Source organism: Homo sapiens, chromosome 7, assembly GCF_000001405.40.
Source record: "Homo sapiens chromosome 7, GRCh38.p14 Primary Assembly".
Lineage (NCBI taxonomy): Eukaryota > Metazoa > Chordata > Mammalia > Primates > Hominidae > Homo > Homo sapiens.
The window spans coordinates 92,896,431-92,917,411 of NC_000007.14; the positions used below are offsets into that span (position 1 = coordinate 92,896,431).

A 20,981-nucleotide genomic window follows, 5' to 3' on the forward strand; every position below is an offset into this window, starting at 1 on the left:
TATATTTAGGATAGTTAGCTCTTCTTGCTGCATTGATCCCTTTGCCATTATGTAATGCCCTTCTTAGTCTCTTTTGATCTGTGTTGGTTTAAAGTCTGCTTTGCTGGAGTCCAGGATTGTAACCCCTGCTTTTTTTTTTTTTTTTTTTTTTTTGCTTACCATTTGTTTGGTAAATATTCCTCCATCCCTTTATTTTGAGCCTATGTGTGTCTTTGCATGTAAGATGGGTCTCCTGAATACCACAAACCGATGGGTCTTGACTCTTTATCCAATTTGCCAGTGTGTGTATTTTAATTGGGGCATTTAGCCTGTTTACATTTAAGGTTAATATTGTTATGTGTGAATTTGATCCTGTCATTACGATGCTAGCTGGTTACTCTGCCCATTAGCTGATGCAGTTTCTTCATAGTGTCAATGGTCTTTGCAAATTTTGTATGTTTTTGCAGTGGCTGGTACCAGTTGTTCCTTTCCATATTTAGTGCTTCCATCAGGAGCTCTTGTAAGGCTGGCCTGGTGGTGACAAAATCTCTCAGCATTTGCTTCTATGTAAAGGATTTTACTTCTCCTTTGCTTATGAAGCTTAGTTTGACTGGATATAAAATTCTGGGTTGAAAATTCTTTTCTTTAAGAATGTTGAATATTGGCCCCCACTCTCTTTGGGCCTGTAGTGTTTCTGCAGAGATATCTGCTGTTAGTCTGATGGGCTTCCCTTTTTGGGTAACCTGACCTTTCTCTCTGGCTTCCCGTTAACATTTTTTCCTTCATTTCAACTTTGGTGAATCTGATGATTATGTGTCTTGGGGTTGCTCTTCTCAAGGAGTATCTTTGTGGTGTTCTCTGTATTTCTTGAATTTGAATGTTGGCCTGTCTTGCTAGGTTGGGGAAGTTCTCCTGGATAATATCCTGCAGAGTGTTTTCCAACTTGGTTCCATTCTCCTCATCACTTTCAGGTACACCAATCAAACGTAGATTTGGTCTTTTCACATATTTCTTGGAGCCTTTGTTCATTTCTTTTTATTCTTTTTTCTCTAATCTTGTCTTCTCTCTTTATTGCATAAGTTGCTCTTCAATCTCTGATATCCTTCCTTTTTTGGATATCCTTTCTTCTGCTTGATCAATTCGACTATTGAAACTTGTGTATGCTTCATAAAGTTCTTCTGCTATGTTTTTCAGCTCCATCAGGTCATTTGTGTTCTTCTCTAAACTGGTTATTATAGTTAGCAGTTCGTCTAACCTTTTTTCAAGGTTCTTAGCTTCCTTGCATTGGGTTAGAACATGCTCCTTTAGCTCAGAGGAGTTTGTTATTACCCACCTTCTGAAGCCTACTTCTGTCAATTCGTCAAACTCATTCTCCATCCAGTTTTGTTCCCTTGCTGTCCAGGAGTTGTGATCCTTTGGAGGAGAAGAGGCATTCTGGTTTTTGGAATTCTCAGCCTTTTTGCACTGTTTTTTTTCTCATCTTTGTGGATTTATCTACCTTTCGTCTTTGATGCTGGTGGCCTTCCAATGGGGTTTTGGTGTGGACATCCTTTTTGTTGATGTCGATGCTATTCCTTTCTGTTTGTTAGTTTTCCTTCTAATGGTCAGGAGCCTCTGCTGCAGGTCTGCTGGAGTTTGCTGGAGGTCCACTCCAGACCCTGTTTGCCTGGGTATCACCAATGGAGGCTGCAGAATAGCAAAGATTTCTGCCTGTTCCTTCCTCTGGAAGCTTCATCCCAGAGGGGCCCCTGCCAGACGCCAGCCAGAGTTATCCTGTATGAGGTGTCTGTTGACCCCTGCTGGGAGTTCTCTTCCAGATAGGAGGCATGGGAGTAAGGGATCCACTTAAGGTGGCAGTCTGTTATTTAGCAGAGCTCAAGAACGGTGCTGGGAGATCTGCTGCTCTCTTCAGAGCTGGCAGGCAGGAATGTTTAAGTCTGCGGAAGCTGTGCCCACAGCCCTTCACCCAGGTGCTGTGTCCCAGGGAGATGGGAGTTTTATCTGTAAGGCCCTGACTGGGGCTGCTGCCTTTCTTTCATAGATGCCCTACCCAGAGAGTAGGAGTCTAGAGAGGCAGTCTGGCTACAGCAGCTTTGTCTACACTGTGTGGGGAAACCTCCTACTCAAGCCTCAGTAATGGTGGATGCCCCGCCCCCCACCAAGGTCCAGCATCCCAGGTTGACTTCAGACTGTTGTGTTGGCAGCGACAATTTCAAGCCAGTGGATCTTAGCTTGATGAGCTCCGTGTGGGTGGGATCTGCTGAGCTAGACCACTTGGCTCCCTGGCTTCATCCCTTTTTCCAGGGGAGTGAACAGTTCTGTCTCGGTTATGTTCCAGGCACTACTGGGATATGAAAACAAAAACAAAAACAAAAAAACTCCTGCAGCTAGCTCGAGGTCTGCCCAAACGGCCACCCAGTTTTGTGCTTGAAACCCAGGGCCTTGGTGGTGTAGGCACCTGAGGAAATCTCCTGGTGTGCAGGTTGTGAAGACTGTGGGAAAAGTGTAGTATCTGGGCCAGAATGCACCATGCCTCATGGCACAGTCCCTCACGGCTTCCCTTGGCTAGGTGAGGGAGTTCCCTGACCCCTTGTGCTCCCTGGGTGAGGTGACACTGCACCACGCTTCGGCTTTCCCTCCATGGGCTGCTCCCACTGTCTCAGTTGGAAATGCAGAAATCACCTGCTTTCTGTGTTGATCTCACTGGGAGCTTCATACTGCAGCTGTTGCTATTTGGCCATCTTGCCAGCCACCTCTGAATCATAAGATTTCTATACATATTCTAGGTATAAGTCTCTCATCAGAAATATGATTTGCAAATATTTTCTCCCATTTCGTGGGTTGTCTCTTCACTTTCTTGATGATAACTTTTGTAGCACAAGAATTTTAAATTTTGATGTAATCCAATTTATCCATGTGTTTCTTTGTTGCTTGTACTTTTAGTGTCATATCTATGAAACTTTTCTCTTACTCAAGGTTATAAAGGTTTAAGCTGATATTTTCTTTTAAGAGTTTTATAGTTTTCATTTTGTAAACTAGTTTTATGAAACTATAGTAGTTCTTACAGTGAGGTCTTTGATCTATTTTGTGTGAATTTTTCTACATAGTGTGAGGCAAGGGTTCAGCACCATTTGCTACAAAGTCTATTCTTTGTCCATTGAATGGTTTGAATAGTTGAGTTGAATCTGTAGATCAGTTTGGGAAATATTGCCCATGAACATGGGTGTATTCATGGTATCTGATCTATGAAAATGGTATGTCTTTCCATTTATTTAGGTTGTCTTTAATTTCTTTCAATAATATTTTATACTTTCCAGAACACAAGTTTTTCACTTCCTTTGTTAAATATATTTGTAAATATTTTATTATTTTTGATGCTATAAGAAATGAAATTATTTTCTTTATTTCATTTTGGATTGTTCAGTGCAAGTGTGTAGAAATACAATTGATTTTTGTATAATGATCTTGTATCCTGCAGCATTGCAAAACTTATTAGTTTGAATAGTTTTTGCTAGATTATCTAGGATTTTCTGAATCATGATGACTTAATCATGTCATGTATACATATATTTTACTTCTTTCTTTCAAATTTTATTGCTTTCATTTCATTTTCTCCCCTAATTGGCTCACCTTGTATAATGTTAAATGGAAGTAGTGAGAATAATCACTCTTGTCTTGTTCCTGATCTTAGGGGAAAAACATTCAGTTCTTCACCCTTATGTATTACACAAGTTGTATATACCTTACCTGAACTAGTTGGGATCAGAAGTGTTCTGGATTTGGTGGTTGTTTTTTTGGATTTTGGTATATTTGCATTGTACTTACCAGTTGAATATCCCAAATAAAAAAACCAAAAATTTGAAATGATCCAGTGAACATTTCCTTTGAGCGTGATGTCAGCACTCAAAAAGCTTTGGATTTTAGGGCATTTTGGATTTTGGACTTTCAGATTTGGGATGCTCAACATGTATTAACTGTGGGTTTTTCATATATGCACTTTATCAAGCTGAGAAAGTTCCCTTCCATTCCTAGTTTTTTATAAACAATATTTTAGTCTTGCATTGTGTGAAATGTTTCCCTTTTCTATTGAGATGATCATGTGAGATGATCATGTTTTGTTCTTTATTGTATTGATATGATGTATTACATTGATTAATTTTTGGTCTGTAAACATTTGTGGGCTGTTATCCATTACAGTGTCTGCTCAACAGTTATACCTTGACAAGTGTGAGATAAATGCTGAGTCCTGGCCATGTTGCTGTCCCTCATTTTTAAAAAAAAACATTTGATATTAAGTATGGTATTTCTAATGGAAGCTTCTATTAAATGTCACACTGTAAAATTCAAAATTTGCCATTTCTCAGTTTCCTAAACTTAATAGAGCTCTTACTAAATTGTCTTTATGAGAAATGTGTCTCTTCCTATTTATCTGAAAGTAGATGAAGAGAATTTTGTATTGCTCCAGCCCTTCAGCCAAAATTAAATCAGAATAGGATGAAATTCTTAAACAACATGAGTGTGTATCTATAATACACCTTTCAAAAGGAACAAGTTCTTACCAAATTATGCTGTTGTTTTTACTGGAGTCTTAGCTTTTATGATTTTAAAAACATCTCTAAGGCTCAAATTCTATCGTTCTTGATTTGAAATCAACCTCTTCTTTTCCTATATCGTTGGAAGGGTTACACAGCTATGGCCCAAAAGCCAAATTTGGCCTGTAGATATGTTTTATTTGTCCGTAGACTTTTGAAAGTTAGGTCAAGCATGTGCTCCTAGCTAGACACCACATTCAATCTTCCTATTGTCTTTTATTATGCATTTAAGCATGGCTTTGGAGTTTGTAATTCTTGAAGTAAACATCTGGTTTTTGGCATTTTTATTTATCTCAATGGAACCATTATCTCTTGGCTTACCCAAATTTGAAATATTGGAATCATGGAATCATTATTAATAATTTTTATGAAGTTTTTTTAATATAAAAATCACTTAAATACAAATAGATTCTCATTATCTAAGATTTAGACAATCAAAAGTACAAAATGCTGAAAGTCCCTTTTCACTTCTGTCTACCACTTTTTTCTCATTTACATGTAATCATTGTCATTAAGTTGGGATGTGTTCTTCCAGCTCACTTTGTAGACTTTTACACACACACACACACACACACACACACACACACACGGGCTATTTTTTTGTATAAAAAATAGGCTTGACAAATATAGTCCAACTTATTAACAATGGTTACTTCTAGATGGGGAAGAAATAGTAGAGAGGAGTGAAGGGGCTTTTCAATCTTTAGCCATTACTACCAATTCTGTATAATCATGACTTACAAACATATTTATATGAAGACTAAGTCAGCAAGACACAAAACCCAGCAGCTATAAATGAGAATATTGATAGATTGACTATGTAAAAATATTATACTGTATCAGTCAGGGTTCAACCAGAGAAGCAGAACCAGCAGGGAGAATAATTATAAATACAAATTCAAATTTAAATACACACACACACACACACACACATACACATATATATAGACAGATATAGATGCAGATAGATAGATACATGTATAGAAAGATAGAGATGTGTGTGTACACATACAGATAGACACACACACACACACACACATATGGATTGGCTTGTGTGATTGTTGGGGCTTACTAAGAAAGTCTGAAATCAGTAGAGAAGGTCTTTAGAAAGGGAATATCATAGTGTGAAACTTCATATTCCTTTGGGAGAAGCCTCGGTCCCACTTTTAAGGCTTTTCAACTGATTTAATCGGGTTTACTCAGATTATTTAAGATAATCTCCCTTATTTAAGGTCACTTGAGTAAGGGCTTTAATTATATCTGCAAACTACCTTCACAAGAAAACTAAGACTAGATGTTTAATTGAATAATTAGATATTGTAGCCTAGCCAAGGTAACACCTCAAAAAAGTCATCATATATACAAATTAAAAATTTACATACAGCAAAAGACACTGTGAACAGAGATAAGCAATATGCAAGTAAAATATCTATACAATATAGGTAATAGACAAAGGATTAATATTCAGAAGTTACTGAGTTCCCCCAAATCAGCAAGAAAGACAAGAATTAGTTGATAGAAAAATGGGCAAAGGATATGCATAGGCAATTTACACACAAATTTTCATAGTCTGATGAAAAAATACAAGAGAATGCTCAAATTCACTACTAATTAGGGAACTGAAATGTAAAGCAATAGCTAATTTTTCCTTATTATTTTAGCAAACATTTAAAATTATGGATAGCATCAAAAGCAGGCAAAAATGCAGATTAATGGGAACTCCTGCTAGGAATCTGTCCTTTCTTACTTTCTTTTTTAATCACTAAGCTCATATGTTTGATTGTTATGGTTGAGTCTCCCAACTAAATTCCGTGATTCTTTCCTCCCTATCTGAGTTCAGCTTGCATAGTACTACTAGATACATCTTAATCCTCTCTCTCTTTTTCCCTTACATACACACAGACAATGCCTTAACATTATTTGTAATAGCCTCAGCCTGGAAACCACTAACTGTCTAACAACTATAGCATGGATAAATAACTTGTGATATATTCATGCAACAGATTATTTATAATAAAGAAATTGACTATGAACTACAAGAATCAGCATGGATGACTCCTCAAAAATACTGTTGGGTAAAGAAGCAAAACAACAAAGAAAACATCAAGCATGATTGTATCTGAACAAAGTTCAAAAACGGCAAAACTAAACTATCTTATTTAGCAATGCATACCTAGGTGGTAAAAACAAAGTAAAACAAAGAAATGGTTATTCCAAATATTTGGGTAGCAATTACCTTATGGTTTGGGAATGGTGGATGCGGAGGGAGAAAGTTGTGATTTGGAAGTTAAACTCAGGAGATTTCGAAGTTAAACTCAGGAGATTTCAAAGTTAAACTCAGGAGATTTCTGGGGTGCTTTCGATCTTAGACTTCTTGACCTTGATGGCAATGACATGTTAAACAGAACATACATGTTTTACGTTTTCACTCTATTTGGTTATAGTTGATAATTTTTTAAATTTAAAAATACCACAAGGGAACTTCCTGAGGTGCTGGTAGCTATTTCTTGACATGAATGGTGATTGCATAACGTGTGATTTAAAAAATTAAATTTACTTAAAATTTCCACACTTTTCTCTTTGTTCTATTTGGCTAAAAAATTGTAAAAATAAAGTAGATAAAAAACCTTTATGAATTACTCCCTCCCTACAGAATAAAGATCAGATCCCTAACCTTTCAAAGTCCTCCATATATTGACTACCACAACCTTTCTAATCCTAACTCCCACTACTGCCTTCATAGAAACCAATAATAATAATGATAGCCCAAAACAAAAGTAAAAAACCCCAAAAAACCCCAACCTTCAAAACTGCAAACAAAATTAAAAAGTCCACAAATACACTAATTTTACTAAATTTCCTTTAACAAAAAACTTGACCTTGCCTCTTTTTATTCTTTATTTGAAGGATTTTGAATTGCCTACCACATGTTTTCCTAAGATGAATCAGAGCAGGATGACATGCTTGTTTAGTCTTTGATGATAATGAATATGTATTTACACGATTGTCAGAAAGAACACATTTCTCCCAAGTTGTTACCTAACTGGTATTGTGTGTTTAAGAATTTTCTTTCTGATTTAAACCAGCTAAAGCCAGTTTTTTAAAGGACATATATATATATATATATATATATATATATATATATATATATATATATATATATATATATATATATGATGTTAGATATTGGTTTGTGCCCAAGAAAACACAGGGAAAACTAAATAACCCAAATCAAGCCCTGAGTATTCATGTGCAGACTATCAGCTTCACACTTAGTCATAGTCAACTTCACACCTAAATGCCATTGAAAAGAAGCAGGGCCAAATGTTCCTGGAAAATGGGACTCTTAGGTTCACAGACGTTTGCTGAAAATACCTGAGCCCCATGCTTTGGGGAGATTTCACTAAGAAGATTGATATGCAGCTTCCAGGGGAAAGAATGAAGGAGGGGCAGGATGTGGTCTTGGTGAATCAGAAGCGGCCCTCCTTCCCCACCCCTCTTCTGAGTCAGCATGCAGCCACATGGCCCCACATGGTGCAGTTCTGGTTCTCGGATGAGCTGTCATATGGGGTCCTCCCTGTCTGCCTTTATTAAAGCACTTGGTGATTTCCAGCAGCCCTATTTGTCATATAAATAGTTTTGTTCTGTCTATAAATTAGTCAAGCAATTCATTTTTGAATCTTTCTGATAGTGACACAGTGACATGAAGTGTTGTTGGGTTTGCTTGTTGTTGGATTTGCTTGCCTCATTTGGTCCTTTAAATGGTAAAGTAACATCACCCGTTTGTAGACAGCCTCGCAAAAATTTGAGCCTTTGGTTTTGGAACCAAGTCAGCTGGGTTCAAATTCCCACTTGCCACCTTCCAAACCTGGGATTTTTTAAGTGCATATATTCCTTTTTGCCTTAGGGCATGAAACATGTGCTCAGCACTTGGTTGCTGCAGTGGGAACTGAGAGTCATTCTTGCTGGTCGTGCTGGTGGCAGAAGTTATGGCAAGCTCCCACAGAGCAGTGGCAGACTTGCCAGTGCCCGTGTCTGGGCTCCAGGTCTGGCAGTGTGGCAGAGTGGGCCACACTCACCAGTGCTGGGCAATAAGACAGTGTTTTCACATTGGACCAGCTCCATTACTTGATCTGGGGTATTGTTCATGGCTACAGAGTCCTCACATTGGCAGTCCTGGCAACTCTGGGAGTTCTGCAATGCCCTTTTAAGCACATTCCCTTTTGCTTAAACGAAAGTTGGTCTCTTTTAATTGTAATGAAAGATATTGACTGATATAGTGACCTTGTGAAAATTTACTTTCTCATCTATAGAGTAGCTTAATAATAGCCATCTCTAAGGGTTATTGGGAGATTTCAATATATTAATGCATGATTTGCATTAATCCACACTAACTATTTAGTCCACACTATTATCCACCCTAACTATATTCATCCACAATAACTATTTAGTCAGTGTGGTGTCTGGCACTAAAATATTAGTTATTAATTATTAATAATGTGCTGGGCACAGGAAGAGCATTGGACTGTCTGTAATGAGAGTGCGTCTTTTTATCAGGAGGGCCTCACTGTTTTAGGGTTAGGAATGATAGGATTAAAAGTAATTTGGGAATTTTTATGACTCATGACTTTATGGTTGGTTGATTTAGGCAACGATATAGCTTTTGTTTCACTTATTAAATTTAAATTTAATTTATGGACTTGTAAGGGCATAAATTTAATTTTACAGCTTGATTTTGACACAAAGCAAGATACTGAACATTAACACCACCACAGAGGCCTACTATGTGCTCCTGTCCCTGTTGTTACTTCCTCCAAAGGTAACCACGGCACAGATTCCTATTACTATAAATTAATGTTGCCTGTTTTTGAATTTTATTTGAATGAGATTACATAGTATATACTCTTTTGTTGCTAAATGTTATACCTTTGAGGTTCATTAATGTTTTTATAGATAGATATAGTTTTCTTCATTGCTAAATTGTATTCCATTATACATATATACTACAATTTATCTATTCTATTGTTAATGGGTAATATAGTTTGGCTCTGTGTCCCTACCAAAATCTCATGTCAAATTGTATCCCCAGTGTTGGAGGAGGGGCCTTGTGGAAGGTGATTGAATCACGGGGACGGACTTTCCTGTTGCTGCTCTTGTGATGGATTTCTCACAAGATCTGGTTGTTTGAAAGTGTGTAGCACCTGCCACTTCACTCCCTCTCTCTCCTCCTGGCCATGTGAAGACTGTGCCTGCTTCCTCTTTGTCTTCCACCATGATTGTAAGTTTCCTGAGGTCTCCCCAGGAGCAGAAGCCTATACATCCTGCAGAACTGCAAGCTAATTAAATCTGTTTTCTTTATAAATTACCCAGTCCCAGGTATGTCTTTGTAGCAGTGTGAGAATGGACTAATACAATGGGCATTTGGGTTGCTTCTAGTTTGGTGCTATGGAGAATAATGTGCTAGGAATATTCTCATTCTCATAACTATCATTTTGTGCACATATGTATGCATTTCATTTAATTTTATACCTGCAGATTGAATTTCTGAATCATACGGTGCACATATGCTCAGCTTTACTGGTAACAAAATTTCCAAAGTAGTTTTTACCAATTTACACCCTCAAAGCATCCTATGAGTTTCTGTTGCTCTATATCCTCATCAATACTTGGTATTGTCAATCTTTTTAATTTTAGCCATTCTACGGTGTGTGTAGAGATAGCCTATGTTGTTTTCAATTTGCATTTTCTGGATAACTAGTAATGTTGAGTACCTATTCATGTTCATCGGTCATTTGGATATCTCTTGTAAAAAGCTGTTCAAGTTTTTTTCCCATTTAGAAAAAAATTGAGCCTGTGTTTTTTATAAATTTATAAGAGATACTTACATAGTCTAGATATGAATTGTTTGTGTGATTTAAATATGTCAGATATCTTCTTCCACTTTGCATCTTGCCTTTTCACTCTCTTAATGGTGTCTTTTGATGAGTAGAAGCTTTAAATTTTAATAAGTCCAAATGATCAACAATTTTATTATGTTAGTGCATTTTATTTTAATTAATAGACTTTATTTTTAATGCAATTTTAGTTTTACAGAAAAATTGAGCCAAAGAACAGAGATTCCCATACACTCCCTGCTCTTCCAGTTTCCCTATTAATTTATGTCTTGCATTGATATGATACATTTGTTACAGTTGATGAACTGATATTGATACATTGTTATTAACATAAAGTCCATCTCATATGTTTATAAATATCCTATTGCTTCTGTTTGTCTGGAAAGCCCTGATTAATACACCTTGGCAACCACTAATCTTTTTACTGTCTCTATAGTTTTGTCTTTTCCAAAATGACATTTGTTGGAGATATACATATGTAGCCTTTCAAACTGGCGTCTTTCACTTGGCAATATGCATTGAAGGTTCCTCTATATCTGTTTGTGGGTCATTTTTTTCTTATTGCTTAATAGTATTAATATTACATTGTAGGGATGTACCACAGTTTGCTAATTTCATTTATCTATTGAAAGACATCTTGGTTGCATTCAATTTTAGGCAATTATTAATAAAGTTCCTGCAAACATTCATGTCAAATTTTTGTGTGGACATAAGTTTTTAAGTCATTTGGGCAAATACATAGGAGTATGATTGCTGGATCATAAGGCGAGACAAGGTTTAGCATTGTCATAAAATTCCATTTGTCTTCCAAAGTGGCTGTACTATTTTACAATCCTACCAGCAACGAATAAGAGTTCTGGATGGATGTGTGTGCGTGTGTGTGTGTGTGTGTGTGTGTGTGTGTGTGTATTCTATATATGTATATATGTATATGTGTGTCTGTGTGTGTATATACGTGTGTGTATGTAAAACTTGACCCCTACTTCACATCAGATATAAAAATCAATTTCAGAAGGATTGAAAGATAAATCAATACAAGTTCTAGAATATAACATAAGAGAAGATTCTGTTTTTAATTTCCTTTAAAGCATTAACTTAAGAGAGTAAAAAAAAACAAGTCACAGACTGAGGGGAAATATTTGTAAAACACGTACCAGATAAAGGTCTTGAATCCAAAATATACAAAGACATCTTAAAACTCAACAGTAAGAAAACAAACAACCCAATTATAAAGTGGGCAAAAGACCTGAACGAACACCTCACCAAAGAAGATATACAGACAGCAAATGGCATATCAACATATGTCCAACATCATATGCCGTTAGAGAATTTCAAATTACAACAAGATAATACCACACATCTATTAGAATCATTAAAATCCAAAACACTGAAATACCAAATGCTGATGAGAATGTGGAACAATCAATCCAGCATAATTTATTTAAAAGACCATCCTTTTTCCACTCCATCATAGTAACAGTGTTGTTGAAAATCAGGTAACTGTATACAAGGACTATTTCTGGACTCAATTCTATCCTCTTGGTCTGTTTATTTTTCCTGGTGCCAATATCACTCTTTTGGTTACTGTAGCTTTAAAATAAACTTTGATAGCTGTAAGCTAATCTTCTTCACAATTCTCTTGGCTATTTTTGATCCTTTGCATTTCCATATAAAGCTTAGAAACAGTTTGCCAATTTCCACACACACAGACAGATACACAGAAAACATCCTGAGAACTTGATTGTAAATGTTTTGAATCTATAGATCAGTGTTATCAAACCTTTTGGTCTTGCGACCCCTTTACAATCTTAAAAAGTATTGAGAACTCTAAAGAGCTTTTCTTTATGTGGGTTATATCTATTAATTGTTACCACAATGAAATGGAAAACTGAGAAAATTTAAACATACTTACTAAATAATTTAAAAATAACAATAAACCCATTACATGTTAAAATACATAAATAAGTGAAAACAGCTATATTTTCTAAAACAAAAAATATTAAGTGAGAAAAAGAACCTTGCTTTATGTTTTTACAATTTTTTTTTTGGATGGAGTTTTTCTCTTGTTGCCCAGGCTGGAGTGCAGTGGCGCAATCTCGGCTCACTGCAACCTCCACCTCCCAGGTTCAAGCAATTCTCCTGACTCAGCCTCCCAAGTAGCTGGGATTACAGGCATGTGCCACCATGCCTGGCTTGTTTTTACAATTTTTTTAAAATGCCCAGTTTAATGGAAACCAGTGGGATTCTCTTATTGCTTCTGTCTTTAATCCATTGTGATATGTTGTTTTGATTGCAGTACATAAAGAAAATCTGGGCTCAGGTATATGTAATTAAAAAGGGAAATGTTTTAGTAGTCTTTTTCAGAAAATGGTGAATATTCTTCTTTGATACTACAATGAAACACAAAAAGTGGTAGTTTCTTAAATTTTAATTGTAGTGTTTGGTACTTTAAAAATGGGTTTTAATTCCCTGGTGAATTTTTAAAATCTTCTTATTTATGTTTTTTCAAAATATCAGTTACAGTTATTTTAGAGTCAGTGTCTTATAACTCCAATGTCTGTATCACCTATGGTTCTGTTTTTCATTGTCTATTTTTTCTCTTTATTTTTGTTTGTTTGGCCCCGTTTCCTAGTATACTTAGTAAGTTTTTACTGATTACAAGAAATTTATTGAAAAAATTAGTCTCTGAATGATGTAAGCTTTTCCAGAAAAGATTTAGTTTTTTTCTCCTGGAGGGCAGATAGAGTACATGCAGAACACTTTAATCTGGTTAAGCCTTTTCTATTTCTGCATTATTCTTACTCCTAGGGTATATCCCTTTCAGGGCCGTAATTGAAAGCCTGAAGTGTTTACTAGTGCCTCTTTTACTTGGTGGTTCCTGAATTCCAATTTTTGTTTCCTTGGTACCATGAGATTGCCTAAATATCTGCTTAGCTTTTTAGCTTCTTAGCAGCTGCTTTCTGTCTAGTTGCTGCCATCTTGCCCCATATGTGCTCATCTTAGAAATCAGGAAATGCTTCATAGGAAAATTTGCATGCAGAATGTTGGGCTTACTTCTCTCTGTAACTCCCTTTTCTTCTGGATCTGGATCCTTATAGTCTGGGCTTTCATTTCTCTTGTATGTGCAGCAAATACATTAAAAGTAAGAATAAAGTTTATTACAGAAATCAAATATGTCTTAATATTAGGAAATGTATTAATATGGTTCATCAAAATGTTTTAAAAATCAACAATCCTTTTTAATTGTAAATGTTTTTCTTAGTAAACTATAGCTTGATGACTGCTTTATCAACAGGACTTAAAAAAATCTAGTTATCTATCCAAGGGATTGGCAAATATGGCATATGGGTAAGTCGCATGTTTTTGTAAATAAAGTTTTATTGGAACACTGACATGACAATTTATTTATGACATCTGTGGCTACATCTATGCTACAATGGCAGAGCTGAGTAGTTGTAACAGAGGTTGGGTCATGGCCTAAATCCTAAAATATTTACTCTTTGACCCTTTAAGCAGATGTTTGCCAATCCTTTATCTATCTTATCTTAGGCAGTTTCCTCATCTGTAAACTGGGGATAACATAACCTTACTTCACTGGGTAATAAAATTTATATCATTATATATATTTGTGTATACAGTTGACCCTTGAGCAACACAAGCTTGAACTGCACAGGTTTCACTTACTATGCAGATTTTTCTCCATATATATTTTGGAAAATGCTTTGGAGATTTGCAACAATTTGAAAAAACAGATGAACTGTGTGAATTAAGAAAAAGTTAGATATGTTATGAATGCACATAATATGTGTAGACAATAATCTGTTTTACCATTTACTATCATAAAATATGCACGACTCTATCATAAAAAGTTAAATATTATCAAAATTTACATACACACTTATAGACCAAATATGGCACCATTTGTGGCGGAGAGAAATGTAAACAAATGTAAAGATGCAATTTTAAACAATAATTGCATAAAACTAATTGTAGTACATATTATAGTACCATAATAAGTTTATAGCCACCTCCTGTTGCTATTGTAGTGAGCTCAAGCGTTGTATCTGCTTAAAATGCTATGTGATGCTAATCATCTCCGTGTGAGTAGTTTGTCTCTCCAGTAAATTGCGTATAGCAGTAAAAAGTGGTCTCTTGTGATTCTTGTGTATTTTTCATTATGCTTAGTGCCATACTGTAAATCTTGAATAACATTATGGGACCCATACAAAGTGCCACTGGTGATGCTGGAAGTGCTCCCGAGAAGCATAGAATAGTCATGATATTACAAGAAAAAGTTGACTTTCAGACAGATGATTCATCCTGTAAACAGACCATGTGAATTTATGGTATTGATAAATACAATATAGCACTGTAAATGTATTTTCTCTTCCTTATTATTTTCTTAATAACATTTTCCTTTTTTCTAGCTTATTTTATTGTAAGAATACAATATATAATATACATAACATACAAAATATGTGTTAATTTACTGTTAGCCTGCTACGGTAGGCTATTAATAGTTAAGTTTTTGGAGAATCAAAACATATATGTGTGAGGGGTTGGCACCCCGACCTCTGCATTGTTCAAGGGTCAACTGTATATCTAGATGGGTGTGTATACAACTGTATATCTATATATCTCTATGTGTGTGTATACATACACGTAATATTTTTACTCTTAATATTAACATTGAGAGAGTCAAAAAGAGGGGACAAGTGATGGTTCTTACATTTCATTCTGTTCTATTCAAAAGTTTTACAGGTAGGCTGGGTTGATGAAAGGTATGATTATAGTTAGGAGAAATTAGAAAGTAACCTAATAATCTCATAAACACAAGGACCACAACTGGGCTCCTTTGACAGTAGAAACATACCACAATACACAGAAAGATAGTTTTCCTTAGCTTTGATCAAGAAAAAAGAAATCTCTAGACCAACAGAATTAGAGGAAATGTTGATCAATTACTTGGCTCAGTCTGTTGCTTTAGATGAGGGTGTGTTTATAAATTACCTAGGCCATAGCTTAACTTTCAAAGATCTTCTGAGACTTTTTTTTCGGTCTTATTCCAACATTTTTTTCCTTTTTTGACATCATTAAATTCTTCCTAGTGTCTCATCAAAATATCTCTAGAATTGCATTTATCTTATTTTGTTCTTCTTTTTCACTCTTTTGAGTACATGGAGAACAAATGATCAGTGACTCTAAAATCCTTCAGTTACTTCATGAAAATCATCAAGCCTCACTTGAGTCAGCTGTAGAATGAGCACTCCTTTCTTCACAAGACCTGCTCTGTTCTTTTAGCTTTTTAATCAATGACAGTGAGGAGGTAATCCATGGAGAGCATTAAATGAAAATCCAACTGTTGCAGCAAATATTTAAATTGATTAGAAGGAGCATAGGACATGAAGGGAACTAATATATATTGGGTGTCTATATCAGAAGCTATACTAGCCCTTTAACCACATTAAGGCAGTAATTCAAATAATACTGCTATCAACTCTATAAACTAGGTGATATCACTGATATTTTATAGTTGAAGCTAGGAGACGTTAACTAAGATATCTACAATGAGTTGCAAAAATTTCTGAGGAATGTATAAGTAGGTAATTTGTAAGTAGTTGTAAGTAGTTAATGCCACTTGCAAGTTGTAGTTAACTCTTTTGTAATCAGTCTGATGGTACAGCCATTTCTATTATTTCTCCAAGAATATAACACAGGCAGAGTAGCTGAGAGCTTAAGAGTTTAGGCTTTGATCTGGGTTCAAATCTGTGCCCTACCACTTTCTATCTATATAATGGGAAATGGATTTAATATTCCCAAGCTACAGTTTTCTCATAAAATAATAATAAGAATACCTTATAGGGTTGTTGTGAGGATTATATGAGATAACACATATAAAATCATAGCATATTTCCATGTAAGGGCACAATACATAGTGGTTTTTATTAATATTATTGCAGGTGAGTGGTAGAGCCAAGATTTTTTGGACTCATTTGTCTTAGTATCTTACAGGGCTTAGAGTAGTATATAGTCTTCAGAAGAGAGAGTTGTCACACAGCACAGAGAAAGTGTTAACAAAGAATATTTAGGAATAGTTAAGCAAGTAAAGGGTCTTCTTAGGCCTAGAGAATGGCAATATTGACAACATATGTACCTAAAAGTATGAAAGGAAAATATCAGAGTTTGATATTTTTGGTGGTTTGCTTCAAAAATACCAATAAATAAATTGCAATGCAGTGAGAGATTATTTTTTAATCTGATGACAGTGCATGACTTCAATTGGGTCAGAGAAAACTAGATGTTCAGATTGGAGGCTGAGGCTTGGATGAGAGGGGATAAAGTCCTGCTCCAGGGTGGCAAAGGTAACAAAAGAAAGGCATAGATTTCAGAGACATCATGAAAGAAGATGCAGGCTCAACAAAGTATCCTGAGTATCTACCATGGGATAGGTGTCATGCTAGGAGCCTGTGTGGTTTTCTCATTGATTTGAAGGTGACAAACTGAGGCTCTGAGAGACTAAGTGATTTTCTTAGCGTCACAGAACTAATAACAGATTTAACGTGGGGTTCTAATTCCAAGGCCAGCTTTGATTTTTAAATATACCTCAACTACCTCTCTTGGAGTCAATGACAAATTGGACGTGGAAGAAAGATGAGGGGGGAAGCAAGATAATTGAGAGCATAATAATACCATGAGAAGTCAAGAAGTGAACATGCACTAGCATGCATATATATACATGCACACACACACACATACACACACATACACTGTCCCATCCTCCCTATTATGGTCTGAATGTTGGCATCTCCCTCAAATTCATACGTTGGAACCTAGCACCCAGTATGATAGTATTAAGAAGTGAGAGTCTTTTGGGAATAAAGTTACGAGGGCTCTGTCTTCATGAATGGGATTAGTGCTTCTTATAAAGGAGGTTGAAGGGAGCCGCCTTGCCCATACTGCCATGTGAAGACGAAGCAACAAGGTGTCATCTGTAAAGCAGAGATTCCTCACCAGACACTGAATCTGCTGGTGCCTTGATCTTGGACTTCCCAACCTCTGGGACTGTGAGAAATAAATGTGTATTTTTGTAAGTCTGTAAGTCAGCCTTCAATATGAGCATCCAGTTTTCTCTGACCCTATTGAAATTATGCACTGTCATCACATTAAAAAACAATCTCTCACTGCATTGCAATTTATTTACTGGTATTTTTGAGCACCCAGTGTAAGGTATTTTGTTATAGCAGTCTGAATGGACTAAGACACTCCCAAATATATAACAACATACAGAGATTCTCTAGTTAATATCCGTAATCACACAGAATCCATAAATCTCTTATCCGACAGCAATGTTTTGAAATAAACTTGTGTAGTATGCCTCCCAAAAAGAACCAAATACAAATAGATATAGTAAAGGTATATGGCCAATTTTTATGGAACAGTTACCAAATCATAGCCCTGTGGTTACATGCATTATGTCATTTAATCACAATAACCCTGTGAGGGTCTTATGAGGTAGGTATTCTCATTGAACCCATTTTACAAAAAAATGGGAGATGTTGCTTCTAGCTAGTGTTCTCTGTTCCTATCTCCTAGGTACAGTATACATTTTTTAGTTGTTCACCTCTTTTTCTCTGTTATTTATTTTACCTTTCTTCCTGCAGATTTACCCTTTTAGAATATGCCCATCAATTTTTACTACCAGTCCCAAAATAGAGCTTCTCTTTTTAGCTCCCCCCCCAGTCCTGAGCATCTTCTCACTCCACTTGGGAAGCTGAAAACCTCACAGGCCATGTTTTATGGATGCCTGGACACCCCCAGTGTGGGCAATAAAGCTCTTTATACAGAGGATGGAATTATGGCTCAATATCTATTTGGGCTGGCTGTTCCTGGAACCAGAGATAGTTTATTTATGACTAACGAAAACTTACTAATCTGTCTTCAAGTGACAAGTGACAGAAACCCAGCCGAAACTTAAGCAAAGGAAAAAGTCATTTGGTTGACTGGAACTAAGAAGAATCAAAGAGGAGCTGGAATCAGACACTATCCCAAATCTCTCTCTGTCTTTCTCTCTCTTCCCATATCTCTCTCTCACTTAGAGGATTGTCAACAATAAGAAAAATACAACCTATCTTCCACTGGCTTAAGAAATAAGTCCTTCATTTCCTTCAAGTGTTTGTTCAAATCTCACTTCTTCAGTGAAGCCAAATTCTCACTTTATTCAACATCAAAACCTGTCCCTTTGATCCTAGCATTCTTGATTCTTTTTGCCATGCTCCTCTTATCAATTTTTTTCTGCTTACTATTTCCTAACATACTATAGAATTTTCTTACTTAACGTTTTTAGTTTATTATAATCTCTCTTGGCTAGAATGTGAGTTCCACAAGGGTAGGGATCTTGTGTTTTGTTCACTGAGCTACTTCAGACACCTAGAATAGGGTCTGGGACATGGTAGATGCTCAACAAATATGATTGCATGAATGAAAGGGAATCTATTATCTTACATAAGAAGAAATCTCAAGTTGAGTGGACCCAGGATTGTTGGTTCAATGGCTCAATGACATAATTTAAAACCATACTTTTTCCATCTTTCCTGTCTGCCATCCTCAGCACTTCAGCTAGGCCTCTTAGGCTGGCTCTTTTCATGTTCGCAAGATGGCTGCTGCAGTTCCAAGTATCACATGTTGACAAGTATCACAGGTTGATAAGACATATGCGGCAACAGCAGAAGGACGGTTGCTAGCTGCTTCTTTTCTGACTCTATTTTTTTTCTTTAATCAGTGAAAAGTCATATATTATTTTTTAAAAGCCACACTTGCATATATAACAACTGAAGTTAAGATAACTGGTTATAGTTGCATTAGTTTCTAAGCTAACCCTTACAAACAAGAATACTTATTCTTTTTTTTTTTTTGAGATGGAGTCTCGCTCTGTCACCCAGGCTGGAGTGCAGTGGCGTGATCTCGGCTCACTGCAACCTCTGCCTCCTGGGTTCACGCCATTCTCCCGCCTCAGCCTCCTGAGTAGCTGGGACTACAGGCGCCTGCCACCATGCCTGGCTAATTTTTTTGAAGAACACTTATTCTTAATATAAGTTACTCAAGTGCAACCATGTGTTAGTTTTGGAAGAAATAAGTCAATGTAAATGTATGAAATGTTAGGAAGGCATTTCTAGGTATAGTAAGTGTAATAATTCAACATTGCTTTTGAAAAGTATAATAGCTAGAAAAATTACTTTTAAAAATCTATAGTAGTTTCTTATTTTGATAAAATTCTTAGAAATAAAACATGAGGAGATCTGCCATGAAGATGACTAATGGGAAGGTGTTCTTGATTATATTAAAGTAAGGCAAAGTATCTTTAAAAACTGTGAAAATGTATTTTAAAATACAAATTTTCTATATGGTATAATATAGCCAAAATATATGAGAGACAATTTATTTGTTTTTTGGCTTAATCGATGGAATGCATATTTTATTTAACCTATGTTATAGGTCAAATGGATTAAAAAATTAACTTTTGCTAAGAAGATGAGACAGTGGTAAGGGGTCTGTTGAACTCATTTAATATTGCTGTTTGAAAAAATAAAGAGTATATGGTGTAAAAATATTAATTTAAAAATGGACTATATTGGTTGTAATCTTGTTCAACATTATCTGTAAGCCTCATGCTTATAAAATCTGAAGCAAGAATAACTACAGATCACCCTGTTAATCCTTTGGGCATTCCTAGTTGAATTAAGTTTGTCCTTGTTAAAGAAATTATCTTTGTTTTTTTTCCCCCTCAGGCATGCATGTAAAACAGTTCCTGTCTCAATGTATGCCTTAGGCAAAAAGTTCAGTGCTCAATTACCTGCTGTCTGAAGTCTCATATTTTGCAGCAAGCAAGTGAAATAGCATTTTAATCAGAAGTCTTGACCTCTGCTCTTCTTTTCCCTTCACAGCACTGCAAGCTATTTGGCATATGAAGGTCTTGACCTGAGAAAACCATCTTGGATAACTGCAGCAAGGAAAAGGAAAAATGCAACACCTAGGAGATTTCAGTAAACAGTAGAATCATGCCAACCTAATCTGTGTTAAAATGCTTGGAATGTGGGAGCCGCTGATGATGCCTCTTGTCTGTGTGTCTGACTGAATCCTTTCTTTTCTCAGAGCAGCAAAGCAAAGCCTGGGAACCAGGCCAAATGCCTGCCACTTACCTTAAATTGATCAGCCACTTTGAGATTAAAACCCCTGAAAGCTGCCACACCGTGAAAACAAGGCCTCCTTCACATTAAAGGCAAATTGCGACTTTGGGTTTGCTGTGATCTTTTTTCCATTTTATCCAGTTTTTCACAGTGCACTTTTTTCCCCCTTTCCATTTATGCTCCAATATAGAAGCCAATAGTTACAGCATCTTGGCCAAGCATTCATTAAGGTTTATAAGAACAAAATTTATGGTTATTTAGGAGTTGGCACAAAGGCAGACTGTTGCTGGAAAAAGAAAAAGAAATACAGGTGGGAAATAGAAGCCTCCACA

The 20,981-nt window shown here is 36.1% G+C and overlaps 1 long non-coding RNA gene across 3 annotated transcripts in view; it reads left to right on the forward strand.

Annotated features, from left to right (window-relative positions):
* CDK6-AS1 (CDK6 antisense RNA 1) overlaps window positions 1–20,757 on the forward strand; it is an 80,705-nt gene extending 59,948 nt beyond the window's left edge. For 2 of the 3 annotated variants that reach the window (NR_110087.1, NR_110088.1), the window contains one exon: window positions 20,407–20,757. This is a non-coding gene — a long non-coding RNA (CDK6 antisense RNA 1). Of the gene's footprint in view, window positions 1–9,299; window positions 9,391–9,660; window positions 9,948–20,406 lie in introns of all 3 variants that reach the window. The other variant, NR_110086.1, reaches the window with a different exon arrangement.
* Window positions 20,758–20,981: the final 224 nt, after the last annotated feature.